The sequence below is a fragment of the Homo sapiens genome, chromosome 12, assembly GCF_000001405.40.
Source record: "Homo sapiens chromosome 12, GRCh38.p14 Primary Assembly".
Lineage (NCBI taxonomy): Eukaryota > Metazoa > Chordata > Mammalia > Primates > Hominidae > Homo > Homo sapiens.
The window spans coordinates 118,168,179-118,183,197 of record NC_000012.12 but is presented as its reverse complement, the minus strand read 5'-3'; the positions used below and the strand labels follow the sequence as shown (position 1 = coordinate 118,183,197).

General features: G+C 42.7%; 1 protein-coding gene across 12 annotated transcripts in view; it reads left to right on the top strand.

Moving 5' to 3' along the window:
- The window catches only part of TAOK3 (TAO kinase 3), a 223,107-nt gene that overhangs the window by 189,710 nt on the left and 18,378 nt on the right, over window positions 1-15,019 (top strand). For all 12 annotated transcript variants that reach the window (NM_016281.4, NM_001346487.2, NM_001346493.2 and 9 more), the window contains 3 exons: window positions 1,591-1,827; window positions 5,869-5,997; window positions 10,538-10,741. In NM_016281.4, the coding sequence (NP_057365.3) occupies window positions 1,591-1,827; window positions 5,869-5,997; window positions 10,538-10,741 (570 nt within the window). The remainder of the gene's footprint in view (window positions 1-1,590; window positions 1,828-5,868; window positions 5,998-10,537; window positions 10,742-15,019) is intronic.

Below are 15,019 nucleotides of genomic sequence, written 5' to 3'. Positions count from 1 at the left end.
GAAAATAGTACAGAAAATTAATAGCAGCTTGAAAATTTCCTGTAAAGCTTGGTTGGGTGTTAGGCTGGGGAGATGGGCCTTACAGTAGATAGGAGTGACCAAATCACTTAGTGAAGAACAAGACTAAAGTTACAATCCTGGAATTAAGATTTTTTTTCTAAAATAGGAAAAATAGGGAGGAAGTGATCAGGAAAATAAAGAGAGAAGATAAATTGAAGGAAGGACTGGAAAAATCACAAAAGATTTAATAGAAATGAGCAAGAGGTGCTGAAATGTACATTTACAAGCTTTAATTTGTTGGATGTTCACTTGAAAATGAGTTAAGGAAAAGTTACTAAGAAAAGTAGCCTTCCAAAAATCATAGCAATGCTTTGTCCTCTTTAGGAGAGTGAGTGAATGTATTATAATTTGGTAACATTTCTTTTGTAGAGAAGGGGATGGGGGAGACATGATTTAAGAGATCTCTTGATCTCATACTCACCTCTTCATATTAGGAATAGGAAATAAATCATGTTCAGACTAATTTAAAAGGTCTATGACTGTTAGAGACATGATCCTTAAAAAAAAAAAAAAATATATATATATATATATATATATACACACACACACACACACACATATACAAAACAAACCAGTGTAGTAGTTCTCAACTAGAGGAATTTTGTTCCCAAGGGAACATTTGGCAATATCTGGAGATACTTTTCATTGTCATGTGGTGGGAGGTGCTACTGCCATCTAGTGGGTAGAGGCCAGGGATGCTGCTAAACATCCTGCAATGCACAGGACGGCCCCCACAACAGATAATTATCGGGCTCGTTGTCAGTAGTGTTGGTGAGAAATCTTGGTGCAGTAGAAATAACATGGCTCTGGAGTTATACAGAGATGGGCCTGATTCCCAATCCAGTCCTTATTAGCTGTGTTAATGTGAACATGTAATATATGTGATGGTATATCAAAAATATGTAAACATATTTTGACTGAATAAATAATTTCTTTTTGTTGTTGTTGTTTTTTTTTGAGACAGAGTCTCTGTCACCCAGGCTGGAGTGCAGTGGAGTGATCTTAGCTCACTGCAGCCTCCGCCTCTCGGGTTCCAGCAATTCTCCTGCCTCAACCTCCCAAGTAACTAGGATTACAGGTGCCCACCACCATGCCTGGCTAATTTTTGTATTTTTAGTAGAGACGGGGTTTTACCATGTTGGCCAGGCTGGTCTCCAACTCCTGACCTCAAGTGGTCTGCCTGCCTCAGCCTCCCAAAGTACTGGGATTACAGGCGTAAGCCATCGTGCCCGGCCTGAATAAAGAGTTTCTTTCAAGAATCAATTTCTTCAACTATAAAACTAAGATGTTATCACCTACCTCATGAATGAAATGAATGAGTGAATGAGATGGTTTTGAGGACTAGGGATAAAATACATAAAGAGTATCTATCTAGCACAGTGCCCCCTACGGGTGAGCATTCACTAAACAGTAGGTAAATTGATGGTGAAGGTGATGGATAAAATTATGCCACAGGGCCGTTCTACTTTGCATGAAAGCTTGTCTCCCATGAACCTGGTTACCTGAGTTCTGTTTCCTAACCCAATTCAGGTTACACGACAGATCCATGAGCATGAGCAGGAGAACGAGTTGCGGGAACAGATGTCAGGTTATAAGCGGATGCGGCGCCAGCACCAGAAGCAGCTGATCGCCCTGGAGAACAAGCTGAAGGCTGAGATGGACGAGCACCGCCTCAAGCTACAGAAGGAGGTGGAGACGCATGCCAACAACTCGTCCATCGAGCTGGAGAAGCTGGCCAAGAAGCAAGTGGCTATCATAGAAAAGGAGGTCAGTATGTGCACACACGCCTTCATGCCACAACCAAGCCCAGCCTGTTGGGGTCAGTGGCAGGATGTTAGCAAGAGGCAGGAGTGGGGGATGGAGGAAAATTGTTGTTTCCGGGGTGGCAAAATTGGGTTTCTAGATTTTATAGGGCTATGTAAAATTGTCGTTCAGAGCTAAAATAGCAACTGAAAATATATGTTACATTCTTGTCCATTCAAATATATTCTGAGGCCAGGCGTGGTGGCTCACGCCTGTAATCCCAGCACTTTGGGAGGCCGAGGCAGGCAGATCACCTGAGGTCAGGAGTTCGAGACCAGCCTGGCCAACATGGTGAAACTCCATCTCTTCTAAAAATACAAAAATTAGCCGGGCATGGTGGCACATGCCTGTAATCCCAGCTACTCAGGAGGCTGAGGCAGGAGAATTGCTTGAACCTGGAAGGCAGAGGTTGCAGTGAGCCAAGATCATGCCATTACACTCCAGCCTGGGCAACAGAGGAAGTCTCTTCTCAAAAAAAAAAAAAAATTATACTTATGTATATTCTGAGTATCAGTCCCTTGATGGTGGCCTGGGTACAAGTAAAGGGAAACAAGATGCTTCCATCTTCTGAGAACGTGCACAACAAAAGTCTGTTACTGTATCTGCCATACCCACAGTCCTCTTCAAAAGAAAACTGCTTTACAAATAGTCTCTTATAGTAGTGATAATCCCTGCCTACAGCTGATGAGCCCCTGAGCAAAAGGAGCAAATAATGAGTCCGGCAATTATTTGGATTTTCTAGGGAACATCTCTCGTCCCCATCCACGTTCTAAACTAATTTTAAAAGCAGACAAGGCCAGATGTGGTGGCTTACACCTATAATCCCAGCACTTTGGGAGGCCAAGGTGGGTGGATCTCTTGAGCCCACGAGTTCAAGACCAGCCTGGACAATGTGGCAAAACCCCGTCTCCACAAAAAATACAAAAGTTAGCTGGGTGTGGTGGCACATGCCTATAGTCCCAACTAATTGGGAGGCTGAGGCAGGAAGATTGCTTGAGCCCAGAAGGCAGAGGTTGCAGTGAGCCGAGATTGTGTCACTGCACTCTAGCCTGGGTGACAGAGCGAGACCCTGTCTCAAAAAAAAAAAGGCCAGGCACAGTGGCTCACGCCTGCAATCCCAGCACTTTGGGAGGCCGAGGTGGGTGGATCGCCTGAGGTCAGGAATTCGAGACCAGCCTGGCCAACATGGTGAAACCCCGTCTCTACTAAAAATACAAAAATTAGCTGGGCGTGGTGGCAGATGCCTATAATCCCAGCTACTCAGAAGGCTGAGGCAGGAGAATCGCTTGAACCTGGGAGGCAGAGGTTGCAGTGAGTTGAGATTGTGCCATTGCACTCCAGCCTGGGTGACAAGAGCGAGACTTCATCTCCAAAAAAAAAAAAAAAACCAGCCAGGCATGGTGGCTCATGCCTGTAATCCCAGCACTTTGGGAGGCTGAGGTGGGTGGATCACTTGAGGTCAAGAGTTTGAGACCAGCCTGGCCAACATGGTGAAACCGTATCTCTACTAAAAATACAAAAAATTAGCTGGGCATGGTGGCAGGTGCCTGTAATCCCAGCTACTCGGGAGGCTGAGACAAGAGAATCACTTGAACCCGGGAGGCGGAGATTGCAGTGAGCCGAGGTCACGCCATTGCATTCCAGCCTGGGCAACAAGAACAAGACTCCGACTGAAAAAAAAAAAAAAAAAACAGAAGGGTAAGGCAGATAGTCATAATATCATCTTTTTTTATTATTATTATGCTTTAAGTTCTAGGGTACATGTGCACAACGTGCAGGTTTGTTACATATGTATACATCTGCCATGTTGGTGTGCTGCACCCATTAACTCGTCATTTACATTAGGTATATCTCCTAATGCTATCCCTCCTCCCTCCCCATAATATCATCTATTACTGATACATGTTAGGTACAAGAGGTGATTTATGTCTGCAGGAAAACAAAATTAAGCAGATCTGCCTGCTCAAGCAGTGCTAAAACTGAGTCACCTTTCCTGCCACCCCCATGAGACTTCCATAGTGTTGAAAAATGTGGTGGACATGTGCTCCCTGGGCATGCAGTGACTGGGGACACAGTTCCAGGGTGTTTCCATAATTGAGCTTGCTCTCTGTCTCTCTTGGTCTCTCTGTCTCTCTCTGTCTCCACATGGAAGGAACAATCAGGTTGTAGAAGAAAGATTTCCCCCAACAGCCATCAATCTGTGAGGCAGTCTGGCATGAAAACCTCTGCCCAGACAAGGATGATGTTGATTAAATAAATCAGTCAGATTCTTTCTTGGGATTTGACTTGGTAAATATGTTGTGAGAATTGTTCATAATGGAAGAATTGTCCTTCATGGAAGTTGCAGGTGAAAAAGATACGTAAAAAGAGCCATGAGCCATGAAGCATAATTCCCCCTCTATCTCCCAAGTCGCTCGTCTTACGTATATCCTTCACCCAGTGGTTACCAGAAACAGATTTGGTCACTTTCAGGAGCCAGTATTTATTGGATGACCTTTTATATAGTATGTGTTTTATTCATTTAGGACCCCAAAAAATGTCATGATGTGTGACTGTTGTGGATTGCAGCAGGTGCCTAAGAGAATAAAATGGCTCATGCCTGTAATCCCAGTACTTTGGGAGGCCGAGGCAGGTGGATCATTTGAGTTCAAGAATTCAACACCAGCCTGGCCAACATGGTGAAACCCTGTCTCTACTAAAAATACAAAAATTAGGTGGATGTGGTGGCTTGTGCCTGTAATCCCAGCTACTGGGGAGGCTGAGGCATGAGAATCACTTGAACGCAGGAGGTGGAGGTTGCAGTGAGCCGAGATCATGCCACCGCACTCGAGCCTGTGTGGCAAAGGGAGACTGTCTCAGAAAAAAAAAAGAAAACAAAATGCCGTTAGCGTTCCAATTACACTTGAGTTGATACCACTGGAAAATCTGATAGTTGGAATAGTTAATCAGTTAGAGTTTGATTCTTGGAATAAAACTGGCCAGGCATGGTTATTTATACATTTTTACAACTTAACCTTTGGGCTATCAACAATATGATGTAAAAACCTTTATTAGATTTATATCAGAACTAAATCCTTAGTTCTGACCGGGCATGGTGGCTCACGCCTGTAGTCTCAGCACTTTGGGAAGCTGAGGAGAGAGGATAGCTTGAGGCCAAGCATTTGAGATGACCCTAGGCAACAAAGTGGGACCCAGTCTCTACGATCATTTTTTAAAAATACTTAGCCAGGACTGGTGCTGCACGCCTGTGGTCCCAGCAGCTCAGGAGGCTGAGGCAGGAGGATCGCTGGATCCCGGGATTTTTAGGCTGCAGTGAGCTATGCTCGAGCCACTGCACTCCAGCCTGAGCGACAGAGCGAGACCTCATCTCAAAAAAAAATGTTATTCTTAGGTCTCCTTTCATCCCATGAATGTTTTTGTGTTCAGTAAAGCATGTTTATGGTTCACCTTCATATTTTTCCCATAATTCAGAATGTATTTTTCTTTTTCTTTTTCTTTTTTTTCTTTTTTTGAGACAGAGTTCTGCTCTTGTTGCCCAGGCTGGAGTGCAGTGGTGTGATCTCAGCTCACTGCAACCTCTGCCTCCTGGGTTCAAGCGATTCTCCTGCCTCAGCCTCCAGAGTAGCTGGGATTACAGGCATGCACGACCACGCCCAGCTAATTTTGTACTTTTAGTCGAGACTGGGTTTCACCATGTTGGTCAAGCTGGTCTCAAACTCCCGACCTCAGGTGATCTGCCTGCCTCGAACTCCCAAAGTGCTGGGATTACAGGTATGAGCCACTGCACCCAGCCCAGAATTTATTAATGGTGAAAATTTCTGGTGTTTTTTTTTTTGTGTTTCTTTAAGATACAAGAAAATCAGAAAAACAATTATTTTTTAATATTTGTTCAAAAATGTCTCATTATTAGCACTCATGGACTGTCTTACTGCACTGGAGAATATAGATCACTGAATTCTGTGTAAAGAATAGATTCATCCTACATTGTATTTGTTATTTTATCAGGCAAAGGTAGCTGCAGCAGATGAGAAGAAGTTCCAGCAACAGATCTTGGCCCAGCAGAAGAAAGATTTGACAACTTTCTTAGAAAGTCAGAAGAAGCAGTATAAGATTTGTAAGGAAAAAATAAAAGAGGTAAGGATACCAATGTTTGTTCTCACCAAGTTGCCATTAGAATGGTTGGAACTTAACATTCACTCATCTTGCATTGTGATCAATATTCTAGTCCAGTGAGTCTCAAACTTTACATTAGAATACCCTAAAATGCTTTCCGGGCACAGTGACTCACACCTGTAATCCCAGCACTTTGGGAGGCCAAGGCAGGCAGATCACCTGAGGTCAGGAGTTGGAGACCAGCCTGGCCAACATGGTGAAACCTCGTCTCTACTAAAAATACAAAAATTAGCTGGGCGTGGTGGCACGTGCTTGTAATCCCAGCTACTCAGGAGGCTGAGGCAGGAGAATCACCTGAACCCAAGAGGCAGAGGTTGCAGTGAGCTGAGATCGCACCACTGCACTCCAGTCTGGGCGACAAGAGCAAAACTCTGTCTCAAAAAAAAAAAAATTACCTAAAATGCTATTAAAACAGATTGCTAACCCACCCCCAGATTTTCAGATTTTATTTTATTTATTTATTTATTTTTTTATCTGACTGATTTTCAGATTTTAAAAATCTATCCCTAGATTTTCTGGGGTAGAGTTTGAAAATTTGTGTTTCTAACAAGCTCCCAGATGACGCTGCTGCTACTGCTTCAGGGACCACATTTCAAGAACCATTGATATAACTCTAAACCATTCTTGTCTTCTTCCTATGTATTTTCCACATCAGTCAAAGTGATCTTTTCAAACCATAAATCTGGTCATTCTACTGCATAGTTTTGAAATCCATTGTCTTCCCATTGCTTTTAGGACAAGTCAAAATCCTAGAAGTCCCTACACAGTCCCCTCCTAGCCTACTCGTTCAGTGACATCTCACACTAATGCTGCCCCTACCCTCAACCCACTCTTCGCTGCACCAGCCACCATGGTCACCTTTCAGTTCCTCAAATTTATCAAGCTCCACCCTTCCCCAAGGTCTTTCCACATACTGTTTCTTCCACCAAGATGTTCTCCCTACCCCCAAGCCCTCCCTGACCACAATTTTGCTCGGTTAATTCCTACTTCTCCTCCTTGTGCAATGCGGGATTGGTTATTAGGATCTTAACTTAAATGTCACTTTCCTAAGGAAGCCTTTTCTAACTGCCTCAGCCAAGACAGATGTCTCTGGTTTCCTAACTAGAGCCTTTAATTATACATTTGTTTAATGATTATTTGAGCTACTTACTCTACTAACTGGTAAGCATCATAAGAGCACAGACCATGTTTTTGTTTGCTCACAACTGTATCCCTGTGCCCTGTACACATGAATATTTGGTAAATGAATGATTGATTCTGGAATATTTGGTTGAAGACCACTAGTGGACTTAGGAGTTCTTCCCAAAGAACTGCACTTTGATCTGAAAGCTCAAATTTCTTCAGTTCTCCTTTTACCAGTACTTACAGGTGAATCGTCTGCAGCTCCATGGACTTTTCTTCTCATAAACCTTAGTATTTCTTATTTGTAGACTTACTAAGTGTATTAAGGTTTAATAAAATTCAATATGGCGCATTGTTTTAGTATATATAAAATCATGTGTTTGAGCTCATATTCTTTATTTTTTTTTCTTTTGAGATGGAGTTTCGCTCTTGTTGCCCAAGCTGGAGTGCAATGTCATAGTCTCGGCTCACTGCAACCTCCACCTCCCGGGTTCAAGCAACTCTCCTGCTTCAGCCTCCCAAGTAGCCGAGATTACAGGCGTGCACCACCATGCCCAGCTAATTTTTTGTATTTTTAGTAGAAACAGAGTTTCACCATGTTAGCCAGGCTGGTCTTGAACTCCTGACCTCAGGTAATCCTTCACCTCAGCCTCCCAAAGTGCTGAGATTACAGGCGTGAGCCACCACGCCTGGCCTGAGCTCATATTCTGATTTGTAGGTTAGCAATAGAGGACTCAGCAAGGTTCTCCTCCAATTCTTTTTTAGTTAGGAAGTGAAACCAAGGGGGTTGGGGTGGGCCTAGGGATTTTTTGTCCTGCCCAGGTAAGCCACTGGTAATTGTTAGACCTAACAGAAAATTGTATTTGATTTACACTGGCTGAATGGGTAGAATCTCTGACACCATAAGGTCTAGAAAACCCGGGTGTAGAGAGAATAGCCCAACTCAGAAGGTTCACATTCTTTCCATTTTCTCTGAGTTATTGGCTTGAGCTTAATTTTTATATCATAATATGATGTTGCTGGATCAGAGATAGCCTAAGAAATTTTGAGGTTTTTCTCCACTCTAAATACCTTCCTTGGCTGGGCACGGTGGCTCATGCCTGTAATCCCAGCACTTTGGGAGGCCAAGGTGGGTGGATCAACTGAGGTCAGGAGTTCAAGACCAGCCTGGCCAACATGGTAAAACGACATCTCTATAAAAATACAAAATTAGCTGAGCTTGATGGCGGGCGCCTGTAATCCCAGCTACTCAGGAGGTTGAGGCAGGACAAATTGCTTGAATACAGGAGGCAGAGGTTGCAGTAAGCCGAGATCACACCACTGCACTCCAGCCTGGGCAACAGAGTAAGACTCTGTCTCAAAAAAAAATCGTAAAATAAAATAAATAGATACCTTCCTTATTTCTAACTCCACGCGTCCACTCATCCACTGGAGGCCATACTTTATGACTATGGCCACCATTTTGAGTTTTTGTAACATTGAGATATTTGGAAATTTCATGAACTCTACCTTCTAGAAGATTTTCCCACAGAACAGCATTTAAGAGTCCCCACTCAGTCCTCAAGCATACGTCAATTTTTGGCTCACCATACTCAGACTTGAGTGCCAAAGCCCACAGGCCTACACTTCTGTCTTTGAACATGCTCATGAAAAAAAAAAAAAAGCCAGAAGCCAATTTGAGATAACCCCACTAGACCATTCTATGCAAAAGCTAATATTACTTTTTCTGAAGTAAAGCTTAGTTCAGACTATTTAAAGTGGCATATATATTTAGATATTTATATACTTACAGATATTGTCCTTGGAATGACAAAAAAATTTTTTCATTATCACCACTTTTGATAGATAACAGGAGTATCTAATACAGAATGATAGATGGTCCAGAAATAATTTATTCTTGATTTTGGAGTAAATTTTTGTGATTATATTTGAATCGGGGTCTGCAGTCTAGTGGTTAATGGCCAACCAAGTAGTGACATCACGGCATGAAGAGATGAATGACCCAGGCTTCCTCTTGTGATCCCAGCTTACTCCAGCTTACTCTGAAAACAACACTTTCTCTTGTTGATTCTAAGATTTCACTTACAGCTTCACTGGAACAGGATAGTTGAAAGTTGATTTACAGAGACTTCTTGGCTAAGAGATAAAATAGTCTATGATATCGGCATCACAAAACATTAAGTAAAATAGGTGTTAGCAACTAAAGGAGATTTTAGCTGAGTGAGTAGCTAACCAAATGAAGAAAGAAGAGTATACTGTACTTTCTTAACAAGTAGTCTTCTTCTTTTCACCACAGTTTAACATCTTAACAGTCCTGATTCACTGCTTTGTTTCCTTTGCTCAGATGTTCTGGAAAAATTGTGAATTTTGTCCTTGGAAAATATAGATGGTTTGTTTACTCTATAATCCCAAGTGAAGAATGTTTTTTCCTAAAATTCAAACTAGTGACATTTGCATAGTCACCTCTTCTCTTTGGAATCTGTCTGCTTCTCTCAGTCTTGTCACTACTTCCTTTGTCCAAGCTACTACCATCTCTCTTGCCTGGACCTTTCCAGTAGCCTCCCAGCTATCTTCATATGTTCTTGCCTCCTTCATTCTGTTCTCCCCATGGCAGCCAGAGTAATCATTTTCAAATGCATCTCATTATGACACTCTCACATGCATGAAATCCATTTCTCCTATACTAAAGATCAGTGTCCTTATATTGGCCTGTAAAGCCTCAATGGTCCTGCCTACCTGGCCAGACTTATCTCATATTACGTTACACCAGCCCCTCTGACCTTCTTTCAGCCCTTGATGGCACCATGTTTCCTCTCCAACCCCTAGGGTTTTGCACATGCTGTTTTCTCTACTGAGAGTATTCTTCCCTTTCCTTTTCCGCTGGTTAACTCTGAATAATTTTTCTTAGTTACTACCAAGATTAAATATTTTCTATTAAATTCTTCTAGGGCCAAGTACGTCCTCTTCAAAGCAGTGATCACAGTAATTTTTAGTTCATTTCTGCGGTTCTTTAATTTTTGATTCTATAATAAAGACACACGGTGGCAGTTATCATGGCCTTTTACTCACCTTTGTGTCCTGTATCTTGCACACTGCCTGTCACATGATAGGAGCTTGTTAAGTTTGTGTTGAGTGAATGAGTGAACAAATAATTTCTGTTAGTGAGAAACCAAAGATACAGAAACTCACAAGTGTCCCTCTCACTTAATACTCAATTAATGAGCAAATAAAAAAAATTGGGGGAAGGATGTGCAACACTAAGCTTTTCTGTGCTTACATCTGCATTGGCTTTCCAAATAACTTAATCTTCAGTTGCAATAAGCTGTTACAGTCCCTTTCATTTAGTAAGGCTGGCTTGGTTTTTGTCTGTTCTTTTTAGGAAATGAATGAGGACCATAGCACACCCAAGAAAGAGAAGCAAGAGCGGATCTCCAAACATAAAGAGAACTTGCAGCACACACAGGCTGAAGAGGAAGCCCACCTTCTCACTCAACAGAGACTGTACTACGACAAAAATTGTCGTTTCTTCAAGCGGAAAATAATGATCAAGCGGCACGAGGTGGAGCAGCAGAACATTCGGGAGGTATTTATTACGCTCGTAACTATTGTCATTGACATAGGAGACAATATGCTATGTGAGGCTTGTGACCATGTCTGCCTGGTCCATTCCTATATCCCTAGCCTTTCTAGCCTTTTAGCACAGTGGCTAACACAGAGTAGGTATACAAAAAAAGTCAGGGAATGAACTTACTATTGATAAGAGGAAGCCCACTCACAGAACAAGGAATCAACTCCATCTAAATACATGTAATAGAATTTTATTGAACTCCCGTTATAAGCCATATCACACAATGAAGAATCAAAAGAAGTAGAATCGAGAATTTTTGTTTTCAGCCTACTTGTCAAGGACTTGTATTTTTGTGACTCCGCATAAAACATTTAAGTAACATTATGATGCTCTATAACTAAGTGCATTTATTCCATCATCCAGTACTCTCAGAGTGAGTGCTAGACACCAGGGATACCAAGAAGCTGTACTCCCTGCCTTCAAATGGCTATGAGTCTAAGAGCAGAAAAAAACATGTAACAGACTAATTACAATACAATATGTTAGGTGACATATTAGACATAGAAATAAAGTATCATTGGCATACAATCATGAGAGGGCTTAGATGACTCTGCTATTGATGAAAAGATGAGTGTGACCAGAGTTCTGTGTATATAGAGTGGCGGGCAGAACAATATTAGTTGGAAGCAGAATGTAGAGACCCTTGTTTAAGGCAAGGCATTTGACTTTTAGCCTGAAGGCAGTGGCCATGAGAGATTTTTAAGCAGGGTAATGACATGATGAGACATTTCTTTATTTTGAAGAATTAGTGCATCAGCCAGGCATGGTGGCTCATGCCTGTAATCCCAGCACTTTGGGAGGCCAAGGCAGAAGGATCACTTGAGGTCAGGAGTTTGAGACCAACCTGGCCAACATGGTGAAACCCCGTCTCTACTAAAAATACAAAAATTACCTGGGCATGGTGGTGCACGCCTATAATCCCAGCTACTCAGGAGACTGAGGCAGGAGAATCACTTGAGCCTAGGAGGCAGAGGTTACAGTGAGCCAGGATCGTGCCACTGCACTCCAGCCTGGGTGATAGAGTGAGACTTATCTCAAACAAACAAACAAACAAACAAAAGAATTAGTGCTTCAGTATGATAGAGAGATAGAAGTCATGAAAAGCAAAGTGCAATGAGGTCAGCCAGGATGCTCTTTCTCCAGTTCTAGCCTGGAAGAGGCTGTGGGGATAGAGGCAATTAGATCTGAGTGACATTTCTTACTCAGAACTGATAGTTAATCCTTACCAAATAGATATGGGAATTTCAGAAGAGGAAGTCAGAAGTGACTTCCAAGTTTCTAATTTGGGAGGTTGGATGGATATGCTGGCATTCACTGAGATGAGGAATACAGAATACTGTGTTCAACAGAAAATCATTGTGACCTGGAGTAAGCAGAGAAAACTTTATAAATGATCTAGCACAGTGGTAACAGTATCAAAGTCTGAGAAAAGCCCAGTGTTAGCCTACATGAGGGAAACAAGCACTTCCAGCACAGTTAATACAAAAGTGAATTGATAGAACCTTGTTAGAGAGCTGCATTGAAATGAGAAGGAAAAAGGGTGAAGCAAACTAAAATGTATTGAACACATGTAGGCCAGGCTCAGGCTCTTTCTGCATGCTGTCTTATTGGAAGAGGGAGAGCTGTGAGCTGCTGAACATTTTTTTGTGGAGACAGAGTCTCGCTCTGTTGCCCAGGCTGGAGTACAGTGGCGCAACCTCAGCTCACTGCAACCTCCACCTCCTAGGTTCAAGCGATCCTCCCACTTCAGCCCCCCAGGTAGCTGGGATTACGGGCACACACCACCACGCCCGGTTAATTTTTATATTTTTAGTAGAGGTGGGGGTTTTACCATGTTGTCCAGGTTGGTCTCAAACTCTTGAGCTCAAGTGACCTGCCTGCCTCAGCCTCCCAAAGTGTGGAGATTACAGGCATGAGCCACCACATCCAGCCTGCTAAACATTTTTGAGAAGGGCAGTGATATGGCTAAAATTGTACTTTAAAGAGATTAGCCCAGATTGACAGTAATACACAGAATGATTTGAACATAGATTCTCAATGGGGGTGATAACGCCCCCAGTGGGTGAAAGTGGGTTCCTGTTGGGGTGCGGTGACCTAGGTCTTATTACAGCTTCAAAGGACCACAGTGCATAAACAGATACACAGTTTACCTGTGGTATTAATATTTCAGTGATGGGGATAATTAAGGGAGAAAAAGCCTAGAAAGCCTCCTTATAGGGGCAATGATGAAAAAAAAAACTGCTTGAGAAACACAGGATTAGAGAGAAGAGACTAGTAGCAGGAAATAGGATATGGACAAGGCTGGTGGTAGTGGCTGTCAGAGCAGTAGATTCAAAACACCATTTGAAGTTTAAAGTAAACAGGACTTGACATATACTAAGATACGAGAGAGGCCGGGCGCAGTGGCTCACTCCTGTAATCCCAGCACTTTGGGAAGCCGAGGCGGGCGGATCACGAGGTCGGGAGATGGAGACCATCCTGGCTAACATGGTGAAACCCCGTCTCTACTAAAAATTCAAAAAAATTGGCTGGGCGCAGTGGCAGGCATCTGTAGTCCCAGCTACTCGGGAGGCTGAGGCAGGAGAATGGCGTGAACCCGGGAGGCGGAGCTTGCAGTGAGCAGAGATTGCGCCACTGCACTCCAGACTGGGTGACAGAGGGAGACTCCGTCTCAAAAAAAAAGATATGAGAGAAAAGATGATGGAATCAAAATTATTTCTAGGGCTTAACACTAGGGGAAATGAAGATGTGGTAGAAACAGAGAAGAGATTAAAGAGAGGTTTTGGTAAGAAGCTGACTCAGGCCGGGCATGCTGGCTCATACCTATAATCCCAGCACTTTGGGAGGCTCAGGCAGGCGGATCACTTGAGGTCAGGAGTTCGAGACCAGCCTGGCCAACATGGTGAAACCCCATCTGTACTACAAAAATTAGCCAGGCGTGGTGGTGGGCGCCTGTAATCCCAGCTACTCGGGAGGCTGAGGTGGGAGGATGGCTTGAACCCAGGAGGCAGAGCTTGCAGTAAGCTGAGATCATGCCATTGCGTTCCAACCTGGATGACAGAGTGAGACTGTCTTTAAAAAAAAAGGGGGGGGGGTGGGGGTGGGCGTGGTGGCTCACGCCTGTAATCCCAGCACTTTGGGAGGCCAAGGCAGGTGGGTCACCTGAGGTCAGGAGTTCGAGACCAGCCTGGCCAACATGGTGAAACTCTGTCTCTACTAAAAATACAAAAATTAGCCAAGTGTGGTGGTGGGTGCCTGTAATCCCAGCTACTTGGGAGGCTGAGGAGGGAGAATCACTTGAACCTGGGAGGCAGAGGTTGCAGTGAGCCGAGATCGCGCCATTCCACTCCAGCCTGGGCAACAAGAGTGAAACTCTGTCTCAAAAAAATAGAAAGAAAGAAAGAAAGAAAGGAAGGAAGGAAGGAAGGAAGGAAGGAAGGAAGGAAGGAAGGAAAGCAAGCAAGCTGATTCAGTACTGCACATTTTGAGTTTGTCAGAAGTCAAAAAATCAAAATGAAAAAGGCTAATGGCCAGTTGGAAATAAGTCATTTGGGAGTCTTTTCATGTAACATTTATTGTTATTCTAATAATAGATATTTGGAGGAAGTCTGAGGCTAAGGGGACAATTCATGTCAATAAAAGTTACAGAAGATAATTACTCCCTAAAAATGATAGAAACTATATTGGTGACTTCATTAGTATTAGGTTCTAGCCAGTTGAGCAAAAAATAACTCTGTAAGAGTATTTTTCTTAAAAGTCTAGATTTTCTTTTGTTTAGTCTTATTCCAGAGCCCACCTTCATGAAAATGTTCAAAGCTTTTTTATTTACAAAAGTAACTCAAGAACATTGAAAATAGACGAAAACAGAAACACATAAAGCTAAGTAGTGAAAGTTCTTTTTAACAGTTTTATTGAGATATCAACATATAAAAATTGTATGTATTTACGGTATACAACTTGATGTTTTGATATATGTATACATTGTGAAATAATCACCACATGAAAGCTAACTAACATATCCATTACCTCCGCATAGTTACATTTGTGTGCATGTGTGCATGGGGTTGAGTAGGGAGATTTAATTTAGGACTTGTCCTCTTAGCAAATTACAAGCATGTAATACAACATTGTTAACTATCATCACCATGCAGTGAGTGCATTAGAGCTCCAGTAATTATTCGTCTTGCATAACTGGAACTTTCTACCATTTGACCAGCATCAGCCCATCTTCAC